The sequence below is a fragment of the Homo sapiens genome, chromosome 1, assembly GCF_000001405.40.
Source record: "Homo sapiens chromosome 1, GRCh38.p14 Primary Assembly".
In the NCBI taxonomy this organism is placed as follows: domain Eukaryota; kingdom Metazoa; phylum Chordata; class Mammalia; order Primates; family Hominidae; genus Homo; species Homo sapiens.
In genome coordinates this window covers 203,640,357-203,656,556 of record NC_000001.11, presented here as the reverse complement: position 1 = coordinate 203,656,556, position 16,200 = coordinate 203,640,357, and the positions used below count along the sequence as shown (strand labels likewise).

General features: G+C 45.2%; 1 protein-coding gene across 4 annotated transcripts in view, besides 1 other annotated feature; it reads right to left on the bottom strand.

Moving 5' to 3' along the window:
• The window catches only part of ATP2B4 (ATPase plasma membrane Ca2+ transporting 4), a 117,250-nt gene that overhangs the window by 87,525 nt on the left and 13,525 nt on the right, over positions 1-16,200 (bottom strand). The gene's annotated exons all lie outside the window — the stretch shown is intronic.
• Positions 5,856-6,025: a silencer, noted in NCBI's record as "silent region_1724". NCBI's record gives its function as "represses an Ori minimal core promoter by ATAC-STARR-seq in GM12878 lymphoblastoid cells {active_cell/tissue: GM12878}" and the evidence as "EXISTENCE:reporter gene assay evidence [ECO:0000049][PMID:35858748]".

Here is a 16,200-nt window from a genome sequence, read left to right as displayed (position 1 = left end):
TTACAGTGTTTACACTAAAAGTATGTGAGAAGACGCAAAGTTCAGAACTCTTAGAGAAATCTTTTCACCTGTGAAATCCTTAACTTCTGAATACCGCAAAGGTCTAGTGAATTCACATTCTAAACATTTTTTTCTTCCATTTACCATGTAGAATAATACCTACTTGGCACTGTTTTCTACTTGAATCATGAAAATGAAAAAAAATACTAAAGTCTTTGTACTTTCTTAGCATTTCTGTGTTCTAAACAGTATATTTCTAGTTTCAGAATGGTATTAAGAATTAGTTTAAGCAGCTCCAGCTAAGTTTTAAAAGGATAAAGAAGACTGCACTGATTCTCTGAGGAGAAACTTATTTGCAGTTAGATGACATAAAAAAGTAAGGTGTTAGGGTTGTAACTTGGTGAAAGCACTTTTGTGATCTGTGATATGTTGTGGCTTTAAGGATGGCTGTATATTATATTAATCTATAATCACCAAAAAAAAAAAAAAATAGCTGGGCGTGGTGGCACATGTAATCCCAGCTACTCGGGAGGCTGAGTTGAGAGAATCGCTTGAACCCAGGAGGCGAAGGTTGCAGTGAGCCGAGATCGCACCGTTGCACTCCAGCCTGGGCAACAGAGCAAGACTCCGTCTCAGAAACAAAACAAAACAAAACACAACGCTAATGATCATCTGAGCCTTCAGGAAGTGGTAATCTTTTTGCTGGTGGAGAGGTCTTTTCTCAATGTGGATGGCTGCTTGCTGATGGGTGGGGTAGCTGTGACAATTTCTTCAAATAAGACAACAATAAAGTTTGCTGCATTGATTGACTTTTTAGTGAGACTTCTCTATAACATATGATGCTATTTGACAGCATTTTTTCCTTTTCTTCCTTTTGTTTCTTATTTTATTTATTATTATTATTATTATTTGAGATGGAGTCTTGCTATGTTGCCCAGGCTGGAGTGCACTGACATGATCTGAGCTCACTGCAACCTCCACCTCCCAGGTTCAAGCAATTCTCCTGCCTCAGCCTTCCAAGTAGCTGGCATTACAGGAACGCACCACCACACCTGGTTAATTTTTGTATTTTTAGCAGAGACAGGGTTTCTCCATGTTGGCCAGGCTGGTCTCCAACTCTTGATCTCAGGTGATCCGCCTGCCTTGGCCTCCCAAAGTGCTGGGATTACAGACGTGAGCCACCGTGCCTGGCCTCTTTTTTTTTACATCCCCATGAAGGACTGATATTTGACAGCATTTTACCCAGAGTAGAACTTCTTTCAAAATTGAAGTCAGTCCTCTCAAACCCTGCAGCTGCTTTATCAACTATGTTTATGTAATATTCTAAATCCTTTGTCACTTCAACAGTATTTACAGCATCTTCAACAGGAGTAGATTTCATCTCAAGAAACCACTTTCTTTGCTCATTCCTAAAAAGCAACTCCTCATTTGTTCAAGTTTTATCATGAGATGGCAGCAATTCAGTCATATCCTCAGGTTCTACTTCTAATTCTAGTTCTCTTGCTATTTCCACCACATCTACAGTTATTTCCTCCACTGAAATCCTGAGCCCCTCAAAGTCAGCCATGAGGGTTGGAATCAACTTCTTCCAAACTCCTGTTAATGTTGATATTTTGACTTCCTCCATGAATCATGAATATCTTTTTCTTTCCTTTTTTTTTTTTTTTTTCCAGACGAGGTCTCACTCTGTCACCCAGGCTGGAGTGCAGTGGCACAATCATGGCTCACTGCACCCTCGACCTCTCAGGCCCAAACGATCCTCTCACTTCAGCCTCCTGAGTAGCTGAGAGCACAAGAGCACACCACCATGCCTGACTAACTTTTTCACTTTTTGTAGACAGGGTCCCCCTGTGTTGCCAGGCTGGTCTCAAACTCCTAGGCTCAAGTGATCCTCATGCCTCAGCCTCCCAAAATGCTATGATTACAAGCATGAGCCACCATTCCCAGCCCTTGAATGTTCTTAATGGCCTCTAGAATGGTGGATTCTTTCCAGAGGTTTTCAATTCACTTTGCCCAGATCCATCAGAGGAATCATTGTCTATGGCAGCTATAGCTTTACAAAATACATTTCTTAAATGATAAGACTTGAAAGTCAAATTTGTTCCTTGTTCCATGAGCTGCAGAATAGATTTTGTGTTAGCAAGCATGAAAACAACATTCATCTCCTTGTATGTCTCCATCAGAGATCCTGGGTGACCAGGTACATTGTCAATGAGCAGTAGTATTTTGAAAGGAGTAGGTTTCAACAGTGGGCTTAAAATATTTGGTAAACTGGCCGGGCACGGTGGCTCACACCTGTAATCCCAACACTTTGGGAGGCCGAGGTGGGCAGATCACCTGAGGTCAGGAGTTCGAGACCAGCCTGACCAATATGATGCAACCCTGTCTTTACTAAAAACACAAAAATTAGCCAGGCATGGGGGCATGCGCCTGTAATCCCAGCTACTCGGGAGGCTGAGACAGGAGAATTGCTTGAACACGGGAGGCAGACATAGCAGTGAGCTGAGATCGCACAATTGCACTCCAGCCTGGGCAACAAGAGCGAAACTCCATCTCAAAAAAAAAAAAAAATATATATATATATATATATATATATTTGGCAAACCATGCTGTAAATAGATGAGCTGTCATCCAAGCTTTGTTGTTTCTTTGATAGATCACAGGCAGAATAGATTTAGCATAATTATTAAAGGCCCTAGAAGCCTGGCGTGGTGGCTCACGCCTGTAATCCCAACACTTTGTGAGGCCAAGGAGGGCGGGTCACTTGAGGTCAGGAGTTTGAGACCAACCTGGCCAATATGGTGAAACCCCGTCTCTACTAAAAATATAAAAGTTAGCAGGGCGTGGTGGCGGGTGCCTGTAATCCCAGCTACTCAGGAGGCTAAGGCAGAAGAATCACTTGAACCTTGAGGGGTGGAAAATTCATAAAGACCCTAGGATTTTCAGAATGGTAAACATTGACTTTAACTTGAAGTCACCAGCTGCCCTGGCCCCTAATGAGAAAGTCAGCCTGTTCTTTGAAACTTTGAAGCCAGGCATTGACTTCTCCTTTCTAGCTATGAAAGTCGTAGATGGCATCTTTTTCCAAGAGAAGACTGTTTTGCCTACATTAAAATCTGTTGTTTAGCATAGCCACTGTCACCAATTATCTTAGCTAGATCTTCCGACTAACTTGCTGTGGTTTCTATGTCAGCACTTGCTGCTTCACCTTTACGTTGTGGAGACAGCTTCTCTCGTTAAACCTCAAGAACCAAGCTCTGCTAGCTTCTAACTTTTCTTCTGCAGCTTCCTCCCCTCTGTCAACCTTCACAACATTGAAGAGATTTAGGATCTTGCCTTGGATTAGGATTCAACTTAAGGGAATGTTGTGGCTGGTTTGATCTTCTAATCAGACCACTTGAACTTCCTTCCTGTCAGCAAATAAAGCTGTTTTGCTTTTTTATCATTTGTGTGTTAACTGGAGTAGCACTTTTAATTTCCTTCAAGAACATTTTCCTTTATTCACAGCTTGGCTAACTGGTACAAGAGGCCTAGCTTTGGGCCTATCTCAGCTTTCAACACGACTTCCTCAGTAGGCCTAATCATTTCTAGCTTTTGATTTCTAGTGAGAGACCTGTGACTCTTTCTTTCACATGAACACTTAGAGGCCATTGTAGGGTTATTAACTGGCCTACTTTCAATATTGTTGTGTCTTAGGGAATAGGGAATCCCCAGGAGAAAGAGAGAGATGAAGAACAGCTCGTCAGTGAGGCAGTCAGAACATACACATTTGTTGATTGTTTGCTGCCTTATATGGGCACCATTTGTAGCACCCCAAAACAATTCTATTAGTAACACCAAAAAATCACTGATCACAAATCATCATAACACATATAATAATAATGAAAAACTTTGAAACATCATGAGAATTACCAAGATGTGACACAGAGACATGAAATGAGCACATGCTGATAGAAAAATGGCGTCAACAGACTTGCTCAACACAGGGTTGCCGCAAACCTTCAATTTATTTAATAATAAAATAAAAAGGCAGTGTCTGAAGTACAATAAAATAAGGTATGCTTATAATTTTTCTTCTTTTGAATTATTTCTTTTAGAAGTTGCTTTAGTAGGCCTCGCATAGTGGCTCACGCCTGTAATCCCAGCACTTTGGGAGGCCGAGGTGGGAGGATCATTTGAGGTCAGGAGTTCAAGACTAGCCTGGCCAACATGGCGAAACCCCGTCTCTACTAAACATACAAAAAAATTAGCCGGGCATGGAGGCGCGTGCCTGAATTTCAACTACTTGGGAGGCTGAGGCAGGAGAATCGCTTGCACCTGGGAAACGGAGGCTGCAGTGAGCTGAGATTGTGCCACTGCACTCCAGCTTAGGGGACAGAGTGAGACTCTGTGTCAGAAAAAAAAAAAAAAAAGAAGAAGTTGCTTTAGTGGAGTAGTCTGTTGGTAGAAACCTCTGTTTTTGTTTGTCTCTAAAGGGTTTTGTTTTGCTTTTTTTTTTTTGAGACAGAGTCTCGCTCTGTCACTCAGGCTGGAGTGCAGTGGCACAATCTTGGCTCACTGCCACCTCCACTTCCCAGATTCAAGAGACTCTCCTCAGCCTCCTGAGTAGCTAGGACTACAGGCGTCCCACCACCATGCCTGGCTAATTTTTTTTTATTTTTAGTAGAGACGGGGTTTCACCATGTTGGCCAAACTGGTCTCGAACTCCTGACCTCAGGTGATCCCCCTGCCTCGGCATTCCAAAGTGCTGGGATTACAGGCATGAGCCACCGTGCCTAGCCGTGTGTTCATATATTTAGATACAGGCTCACTCTGTCACCCAGGCTGGAGTGCAGTGGTGCAATCAAAGCTCACTGCAGCCTCAAACTCCTGGACTCAGTGATTTTCTTGCCTCAGCCTCCTGAGTAGCTGGGACTGCAGGTGCGTACTACTGTGCCCAGCTAGTATATTTTTTAGATAAAGCATATAAAGCAAGTACAAATAATATGTTTCTTTAGGCATACATATGGTTATCAAGAGAATGGTGAATACAACATTACAGCCCAAGACAGTGGTTTGGCTGGGTGATGAGGTGGGGGGATGGGATAGGAAAGGGTCATAGGTGGATGCAAATAAATGATAGTGATCTCATTTTTGGGTGGTGGGTTCAAGTGTGTTCATTAGGTTAATAAAAAACATTAATAGCATATATAAATAAGCAGTAAAAGCGAGGCATGCATAAACCAGTCAAGAAAATGAACTGTAGATTTTGACTCATCCAATTTTGTGCATCTGAGAAATAAACAAAAGAGATAGAACTAGAAATGAAAGACAGAGACAGAGAGAGAGAAGAAAAAAAATGGTTCCTATTTCTACCAGCAACATTTTTTAACTTGTATGATCAAAGACAGCCATGGAACTATCTAAAAATATCAAGACTCTTAAATAAGAACTTTTGTTGAAAATTTCATGGTCTAAAATAGCCATTTAACAACACAGTCAAGGCCAGGCATGGTGGCTCATGCCTGTAATCCCAGCACTTTGGGAGGCCGAGGCAGGAGGATCACTAGAGCCCAGGAATTAAGAGAGCAGCCTGGGCAACACAGTGAGACCCCATCTCTACAAAAACGCAACACGAAACAAAAAAACATACACAATATACTGCATCTGACTTTATTATCCTAATAAAAAAATATCAATCAACTTAAAAATTCTGGCCTTTTGGTGGTGGTAGAGGGAGGAAGGGGATGAGAGTGGGAGTACAGTGAGGGGCAGAAGTGCTGATCTGCATTTACTGCTCTAGGGACAGGAGGCCTGGAAGCTGCCCTGTGCGGGACTTCCGCAGCCGGCATGCTGAGCCTCGCACCAGCGAGTCCCGGGGGTGTGGCAGCCTCGCTCGCCCTAGCCCGCCCCGCTCCCCGCCCGCCCTCGCCCCGGGCCGGCCGAGTTCGGACCTGCAGCTCCCCCGGCCTCTGCGCGGTGCAACTCAGCCGCAGGCGCCGGGCTCAGCTGGCTACCAGCGCGGCCCGGGAAGCAGCTGGGGAAACAAACGCCTTAGCCCTGGAGGCCTGGCTCAGCACAGAAGCCCCAAATAAGGCGGGCCGACTCCACCTGGGCAGCAGCGATTGCTCAGAGGGGGCCGATGACTCACTCGACCCAGCCAGCCAAGCACCTCTCTCCCTCCCCAGGGACCCTCGTCCTGTCCCCCACCACATCACACCACACCACAACCCGGGGAACACACCTGGGGAACCCTCCCAGTTCTCACCCTGCCCCTCACCTGGCCTCCCTGAAACCAAACCCTGTGGCTTCAGTGGCTCAGCCGACTTCTCAGCACAGCTTCCCCGGGAGCGCCCGTCCTTGAGCTGCCAAAACCCAGGGGACCAGGGCCTCGCTCCAAGCTTTACGGGGCAGGCATGCTTGATAAATGTCTATTGATCAATGCATGCATTATGTCAGAGGACAAGGGCAAAAACTGGGCTGGTTCTGGGATGTGTGCGTGAAAGCCACTCCGTTTACATCACCATGGAAGGGAAGGCTGGGGTAAATCTGAGATGCTTCAAAACAGGCTATTACAGCGTCTACAAGTGAGTGTTCTCATTAGTCCTCAGCAGCTCTGGAAGAAGGGGAGGTAACCTGGAGCACACCCTACTTAGCGTATGGGGACCCTGGGCCCCAGAGTGGCGAGTGTGACATGCCTGGCCGGGTACGAGTGGGGGCTGTGGAGTTTCCGTGACCTCAATTTTTCTGGTCTGTAAAGTACAGCACTTGGTTTTTTGCTTGTTTTTTAGACAGGGTCTCTGTTGCCCAGGCTGGAGTACAGTGGCATGATTAAGGCTCACTGCAGCCTCAACCTTCCTGGGCTCAGTGATCCTCCCACCTCAGCCTCTTGAGTAGCTGGGACTACAGGTATGCATCACCAGGCCTGGCTATTTTTTTGTTTTGTTTTGTTTTGTTTGTTTTGGTTTTGGTAGAGATGGGGTTTCCCCATGTTACTCAGACTGGTCTCGAACTCCTGGGCTCAAGCTATTCTCAGCCTCCCAAAGAACTGGGATTATAGGCGTGAACCACTACGCCCACCCTAAAGTGAAGCACTTTTAACTTTTCAAAGCACTTCCATTTAGATTCCATACTCTCTCCTTAGATTATCATAACTATCATTTGTGGATACAAACTAATGACGAATGAGAAAAGTGAGGCTCAGAGGTTAAGTGACTTGCTCAAGGTCACACTGTTACCTACTAGCTTGGTCAAGAATGGAAATAAATTAAGGAATTCTTTTTAATGCCCCAAGATTCCAAGATTTTTCACCCACTTTGAACACATCATTCGCACTTAACTGGAATTCACTCTCCCATTCTACAGCGTGGAGAGAAGCCACCCTACTCAAGAAAGAGGACTCAAATTTTATAGGAGCTGGAGAAATGAATGGTCTCCCCAACCTCAGGGGAGTAAGGAGGGACTTTCCCATGCAAAAATCTCCATAAATACGAATCTGTATATTTGTAGGCACTCCATGATATACAAAGCACTTTCATATCCAGTATTTCAAGTGATTCTTGTCACTTACCTTACCCTGTAAGGTATTCAAGAGGATATTATCTGATATTTTAAGGAGAGTGAAAAGGCTGCAGCAGTTAAGTGGCATGTTCAACAATAATACCCCATTTCCTTCCCATGCATTGCATTACATTGGTTACCCCTGAGGTTCTGAGATAACCAATGTAATGATGAAAAACTCTCTATATTCATAATGGAAACCCAAAGCATCTCTCTCCATTTTTCTCATTTCTGTCCTCAAGATGCCCAGAAAGGAGGAAGGTGGAGGGGTGAAACCTTGGTATGGGCCAGGGGACAAACTACGAGCACAGAGTAGCCCAAGCCTTCCCCAGAGTCATGGCAAAAGGTGGTACCAGCTCATGGGTGAACCCAAGACTCCATGTCCTGGCCCTGGATCCTGCACCGAACAGGTGCCTTGGACAAGCCTGTATCTGTCATGGAGGCCACCAGTACTCTTTATCACTCTTGAATTTGTAGCAGTCAGTTGGTACAACCTCCAAGAGGCTGGCACCTCGGGCTGTCATTCCAAAGCCACCTAACTGCCAAGGGGTGTCAAGTGGCCCACCACAAGCACAGGGACTTTCCCATCTAGTGTCCCATCATAGACACTAGACATTGTCTTTGTCCCCAGCCCCATGGTTGCTAATTATCTTTTGGCTGGTGACAGCCTCCAGATCTTCCTTTCTCTCTGCCCCTTCTTGTGCTATTCTTGGATTTTTTTTTTAAAAAAAACACTTCTTTTCTTTAAAAATATAGCTGCAGATAAAATATACTTAGCTTCTCTTTCACACATATACATTTAAGAGAATGAAGGCAGGAAATCTTTATGGTTCTCTCCAATCACAGGCCAGCATGAGAACCCAAATCACCAGCAGGAGCCAGCCTCTCCACCATGAATGAGTAATCTCACTCACAGATTTACAGGGGGCTTTATTTAGGGTGTTCCACATCTTATTCTAGAAGCCTGGCCTTTAGCTGAGCCTGTGTAAAAGCCACTTTACATTTTGACTCCCACTTCAAACACAAGTTGGCCTGCCCATCTTCTCACACCTTCATGTGAGATCCAGACACATAGAGGAAAGTACCTCCCAAAGGTGACCCAAGAGTTCCAAGCCTTCTCCCCTCTCTGATTTCTCATCCCAGGATCAGACCCTGTGCACCACCTAGGCTGGCTCCAGGTGGTCAGCTTCCAAAGCAAAGGCTATGGCCATCAGCACTTTTTTTTTTCCTAATCATTTCTTCATATATTTAAATTTTTTAAGACAGAGTCTCCCTCTGTTGCCTAGGGTGGAGTACAGTGGCACGATCTTGGTTCTCTGCAGCCTCAACCTCCTGGACTCAAGCAAGCCTCCCACCTCAGCCTCCCGAGTAACTGAGACCACAGACATGCACTACCACGCTCAGCTAATTTTCATACTTTTTGTAGAGATGGGGTCTGACTATGGTGCCCAGGCTGGTCTCGAACTCTTGGGATCAAGCAATTCTCCCGCTTTGCCTCCCAAAGTGTTGGGATTATAGACATGAGCCACTGTGTCCAGCCGTTTGTTTTTTTTGTTGTTGTTGTTATTTTCTGTTTTTTTTAGAGAGAAGTTCTTGCTCTATTGCCGAGGCTGGAGCGCAGTGGTGCAATCAGAGCTCACTACAGCCTCAAAGCCCTGGACTCAAGGGATCCTCCCGCCTCAGTCTCCTGAGTAGCTGGGACTACAGGTGTGCATCACCACACCTGGCTAATTTTTTTATTTTTTATTTTTTTAAGTGACGGAGTCTCACTAAGTTGCCCAGACTGGTCTTAAAACCCTGGCCTCAAGCCTCAGCCTCCCAAAGTGCTGGGATTACAGGTATGGGCCATTGTGCCCAGCCCATCAGCTTCTTTATTTCCCTTCTAAAACCACAGATACTTTGCCTCTGGTTGCCTGCTATCATTGGATTCCACTGGACTATGTTTGGGGCTGACTTGTGACCAATTCTTTATGATGTGGGAAAATGCTCATGATCTAGTATTGGGTAGGAAAAAAAAATTAAATCAAAATCTTATTATGCAACGTGTTCCCAATTTTGTTTAAAAAATGTATATACTCACCCACGTATATAAAAGACTAAAAGAGACTACACCAAAATGTTAGCAGTTATGTCTGGACTTGTGAACGTTTTAGTTTTCTCTTCATGCTTTTCTGAATATTCCACACTTTCTAGGATGATCCTGTGTAGAGGCAGTACATAGCTCAGAATCTTTTTTTATTTTTATTTATTTTTTTTGAGATGGAGTCTCGCTCTGTCACCAGGCTGAAGTGCAGTGGCACAATCTCGGCTCACTGTAACCTCCGCCTCCCAGGTTCAAGTGATTCTCCTGCCTCAGCCTCCCAAGTAGCTGGGATTACAGGTATGTGCCACCACGCCTGGCTAATTTTTGTGTTTTTAGCAGAGATGGAGTTTCATCATGTTAACCAGGCTGGTCTTGAACACTGACCTCAGGTGATCCACCCACCTTGGCCTCCCAAGGTGCTGGGATTACAGGCGTGAGCCACTGTGCCTGGTCGACTGTTTTTTTATTTTTATATTTTTTATTTTTTAGAGATGGGTTCTCATTATATCGCCCAAGATGGATTCAAACTCCTGGACTCAAGCAATTCTTCTGCCTCAACCTCTCAAAGTGCTGGACTACAGACACGTGCCACTGCACCCTTGGACTCTGAAGTTTGAGAGCCATGGTTTGAATTCCACAACCACCACTTGGTAGCTGTGGGAACTTGGATAAAAGTATTTTATCTCTTGAGCCTTACTTTCTTTTTTTGAAAGGGAAGATAGGAATGACTCCTTCCTTATTAGGATTGTCATGAGGAGGGAATGAGGTCATGCAGTTTTAGCATGTGTCTTGGTGCCTGAAATATAGTAAGTGCTCAGTATATGTGAGATCCTTTTTACATATTACTTTTATACTCTGGAAAAAAAGTAAATATTCTTAAAAAATAACCACCTGGCTAAAAATTTGCCATTTGGATTAAAGTACACCGAGAAAACAACAAAAGCCCTCCTCGAAACGTGGTGTCTCTAAAAGTGGCTGAAACAAGAATGATCATACGATAAGGTAGGGTTTAACTATGTCAACGTTCCTATGAAAAGGCAATATACGGCCGGGCACGGTGGCTCACGCCTGTAATCCCAGCAATTTGGGAGGCTGAGGCAGATGGATCACGAGGTCAGGAGTTCAAGACCATCCTGACCAAGATGGTGGAACCCTGTCTCTACTAAAAATACAAAAATTAGCCGGGCACAGTGGCAGGCACTTGTAATTCCAGCTACTTGGGAGGCTGAGGCAGGAGAATCGCTTGAACCCAGGAGGCGGAGTTGCAGTGAGCCGAGATTATGCCACTGCATTCCAGCCTGGGTGACAGAGTAAGATTCCATCTCCAGAAAAAAAAAAAAAAAAGAAAGAAAAGGGAGTATAAGCTGGGAAGGGTGTTGAATGAGGAGTGATGACTGTGATAAATGCAAAGCTGATGAAAGAAAATATAGATGCTTTTTAAATGAAAAACAAAACAAAATAAAAAAACCCCTCACAAAACTAGGTAGATTAGATCACAGAATAATGGACCAAGCTATAAAGCAACTAGCAGAAGAAAAGCATATAACTCAGAAAGTAGGGAGAGTCTGTGAGTTGGGTAAACAGGAATGCTCTGTCTGGCTAGGGCATTAGAGAGGCAGTGTTGCCTAGGGCCCAGGCAGGATGACAGGGGCTGAGTCAGAAACAGCCCTGGGTTAAACTGGGGCGGAAGTTAGACCCCATTTAGACAAGGGACTTTGGGGATTGGAACTATGGATTTGGCCAGCCTGGGGAGCTCTGAAACACAACTGTTTATAGCACTAGGTGCAGGAGATAAGCTGAGCAAGTTAGGAGAATGTACACTTCACTAATCTGAATATAGCTGAGAGCCTGGATCTCCTGACATTGTTGTTAAGCAGTGTGGCCTTCCAATAGCCTGACCTGTTTTGTGCCAGTGACACTAGAGGATGTTGGACACCACAAAGAAGTAAAAAGAGAATCACCACCATTACCAGGATTCCAAATGCAGTCCAGACCTCCTCTCCACCTTGGCATAGTGGCCACATAGAGTCATACAGAGCGGGGCTGCAGGGAGCCGCACAAGCTCCCAGCATGAGTTTGAAGAGGGAGAGTGAAAGGTGGAGCTTCCTTAGATAAGGGCTCAATAATTCTAGGAGACCAATTCCTAAGCCAAGTCTCCTGGGGAACTGGCCATTGTTTCAACTCCGGTCACCAACTTCCTAGGAAGATGTCACCAGTCTCTGTCACTGAAGCCCAGCTGAGCAAGACAGCAGTGAGATCTTACTTTTAAATGTTGGTACCCAACTATAATTAATCTGCAGCATTGTTTGGGTAGGAGGAAGCAGAGAATGTTAGAGTTGAAACATCCTAGAAGTACATTTAGCCCTAACTCTTCATTTTACATCTGAACAAATTGAAGCCCAGAAAGGTTCAGTGATTTCCCAAAAGTGACAGAACAACTTAAGTGGCTCAAGTTCCAGGTTTCCCAACTTCCAGTCTGGAACTCACTTCTCTAGACCACCCTGCCTGTCATTAGGAAGGCTTTGCAATTATTCAGGCATGAGATGATGAGGTTTTGAGCAGGGAGGGTGGCCCTGGGAAGGAAGAAGGTAAAGTTCACTGTGGTCTGTTTGTTTAGAGAAAATTTTCTATTTGTTTATATCCATCCATCCATCCAAGCATTCTTTTTTTTTTTTTTTTTTTTTTAAGATGGAGTCTTGCTCTGCTGCCCAGGCTGGAGTGCCATGGCATGATCTCGGCTTACTGCCACCTCTGCCTCCAGGGTTCAAGCAATTCTCCTGCCTCAGTCTCCTGAGTAGCTGAGACTATAGGCACTTGCCACAACATCTGGCTGATTTTTGTACTTTTAGTAGAGATGGGTTTTCATCATGTTGGCCAAGCTGGCCTCGAACCCCTAATGTTAGGTGATCCACCCTCCTCGGCCTCCCAAAGTGCTGAGATTACAAACATGAGCCACCACACCCGGCCCATCTATCCGTTCTTTACTGATCCTCATTCTATGAGCCAAAGACTGTGCTAAACACCGAGTATATAGGAATGACTAAAGCATCACTCTCCTTTCAAGTAGCTTGCAGGCTGATGAGTGGGCTCAGTGAAAACGCTGCAGCCAAAACCAACAAGTCGCTGCATCTCAGAAACCATGCTGCCATAAGCCTGTTCACATGAACTCTCAGCTAATATTCACACCCTTGTCTGCAAGTCACTGCATCTGAAACCATCTCCCATCATTGGATGCCATCCCTGAGAAACTGGGAGGGGACCAGAGAATTCCCCCTGTTCCAAGAGAGCCTGGAGCACTTAAGTGATCTATAGGAAGCAGGAGCAAGAACTGCACTTAATGCCAAGCCCCTTCCAGCCAGGAAAGGCAAGTTCTGGTTCACGCATTATCTTGGCTAAGCTGCCACTTCTTGCCAGCTAAAGTCTCTGCGTGGGTGTGTGCTGGGAAAAGCAGGGGAGATTCCAGCCTGAGACTCTCTTGCTTGTTTATCCAGGGGCAGCTCAATTCCAGTGCAGCTGACAGTTGATCTGGGTGACCAAATAGTGATAGCACCCTTGGGCTACAGCTTCTACAAAAACAAGTAGTGTTGTCACCCAGTCTGACTCCCTCCATCAACAAGAGATTTCCCAGCATTGACTTCTACAGCCGCTACTCCCAGGGGAGGAATGCAGGGCACGAGTAAACAAGGTGAGGTGGTTGCAGCTCTCTACCCTCCACTCTGCCTTATTTCACCAGGACTCTTCTTGCTCAAATATCAAGCAAAGCCCTAGAGCTGGCACCAAGAGGGTAACCTGTCTCATGGAAATGATGGAGCCCCTGCATGCCCTTTGATGGAGAGTTGCAGGAGGCTGGGGCCTCTGGGCCTTTCGCTACGGGGAGACAGTGGGCTATGACCCTTTTATAAATGTACTGAGCCCAAAGGTTAGCAGGGAGCAGGTGGGCAGGCTGGTGCCAGGCTCCATGGAAAAGGAAGGGAGAAATGGAGGGACAAGATAGGAAAAATTAAAATTCGATGACTACCCTGGCTCATAGTAGTGAGCCAGGCACTCAGAACATGTATCACTCTTCATTTGTGTGTGTTCATATTTTCCAGAGGAAATTGAGTCTGAGAGCCTAAATAATTTGTCCACGGTCACACAGCTGGCCAGCCAGACTTGAATCCAGTTCCATCAGACTCCCTCAAATCTGCACTTTTATATAACACCACCTGCTGGGATTGGAAGGCCAACTAGGTGATTTAGGACACAGGGCATTTTTATACAGAAAGGCACAGGAATGGATTCAGGATTTGGTAAGCTCTGACCCCCGGGGCTGAAAACCCAGTGGAAATTAGCATTCTTTGCTATATCAATATAAGACTTCAGCATCCTGTTTCCTAGTCCCAGTAAATGGATTTTCCAGTGTTAAGGAAATCTCTTTTCATCTGCTCCTCTTACAGGGCTAAATGGCTTAGGTCAGAAATACAAACAGAAAACACAGATAAATCCAGGGTCATACTTTCTTTCAGACTTTTCTATATTGCTCCTAATGTCCCCCATCAAAGCAGACTGTGAGGCCAGGTGCAGTGTTTCACGCCTGTAATCCCAGCACTTTGGGAGGCAGAGGCAGGTGGATTGCTTGAGCCCAGAAGTTTGAGACCAGCCTGAGCAACATAGCAAGACCCATTTCTAAAAAAAATTTTTTTTTAATTTGCTGGGTGTGGTGGTGCACACCTGTAGTCCCAGCTACTCAGGAGGTTGAGTTGGGAGGATCCCTTGAGCCCAGGAGTTGGAGGCTACAGAGAGCCATGATGACACCATTACACTCCAGCCTGGGCGAAAAAGTGAGATCCTGTCTCTAAAAACAAAAAACAAAACAAAAACAAAACACAGTAGGCTGTGGGGGTTAGGGACCAGAAGCACGCCCAGAGGGTTACCCCACTGTTCTCAGTGGCCCACTGTCTGAGTCATTTTTCCCTCTGACATTGGGAAGCCTAGGAATACAAAAGTTACCAAAGCAAAATCCACTAAATAACTTTTTATTGAGTACTTACTATGTGCCAAATACTGTTCTGGGCACTTGGGATATATCAATGAGCAAGGCGAAGACCATTGCTCTCATGGAGCTTATCTTCCAGGAGAGTAAATAACCTTTTTTTGTGTATTAGAAGGGCCGTGAGCTTTGGTGTCAGGCCTGGGTCACATATCAGCCCCAACCCTAATGAGCCAGATGATCTCTGGGCAAGCTATTTAACTCACGGAGTGTTAGCTTTCTTATCTGTAAAATGGGAACCATAGCATGTTGTAAGAGTGTAGTAAGGATTACAGATAATGTATATTAATCGGCTGGCACAAAGCAGGGTTCAAAAATGGTTAGTACTATTTTTCCAGTCCCAGCTGAATCCACAGATTCTGGGACAACTCGCATGCCCTCTTATTTAGGGGCTTCAACCAGAGCATTATCTTTAAGATATCCTAGAGAGAGTCTGGTGTGGTGAAGAATGTAGTTGGGTTGAATCAACCTAAAGCCAATGAATTTTCCCTCTAGAAATGTCTGCTCCCACCCCTAGACCTGATGAAAAAGATAGGCCTGATTAGTCTCCCTCCCCTGCCACAAGCCACAGATCACTGGAGTGCAGAGGACATCAGATCTAAGCTGGAATCAGCATCTGTTGGCGTTTGGACTGAGAGACCGAGTTAATTTACTTCGGAGAGCTAAGTGGGAAGGCCACATGGACTGACAGATGGAACCTACTGCCTGGTTCACCCACAATGGGTCCTGTGCTTGTGGATGAAAGAGCAGGAGCCCATCTGTGAAGAAGAGAGTGCTACAGCTCCAGGATGTAGGTGTGGCTCACAGAGGGGCTACACTTCCCACACCTAAGTTCTGTGCTATTTCCCTGTAATGGCCTAATAAAGCTCCCTTTTACTTTTGCTTCTCTGAGTAGGCTTCTATTCTCACAACCAGATGATCTCCAAGAAAAAGCCTGTACCTGTCTCAGAAGGTGGTTGTTGTGACATAATTTGGAAGCATCTGGCATTTAGTCGACATTCAATAAATGCTGTTGAAACTTCCCATGTTCTTGTCAACCAGTCAGTCACTCAGCCATGGAAAGAGGAAATCTATAAATGGGCTAAACTAAGGGTGCATCTTAGCCTTATGGTTTATGAACATCTTTATCATGTGGAAAATGAAGACAATGCTAATATCGACCTCACTGTTCACTGAGAATATTAAATGAGATGATTCAAGTTTAATACCTATCACATAAATAATAAATGTTAGCTCGATTATTACTTCTACCAATGTCATTGTTATTTAAGATGTGACAAGAGCAGGGTGCAGTGGCTCACACCTCTAATCCCAGCACTCTGGGGGGCCAAGGTGGGCAGATTGCTTGAGACCAGGAGTTTGAGACCAGCCTGGGCAACATGGCGAAACCCCACCTCTACTAAAAATTCAAAAAAAAAAAATTAGCTGGGCATGGTGGCACGCACTTGTAGTCCCAGTTACAAGGGAGGCTGAGGTGGGAGAATCACCTGATCCTAGGAAGTTGAGGTTGCAGTGAGCCATGATTGTGCCACTGTACTCCAGCCTGGGC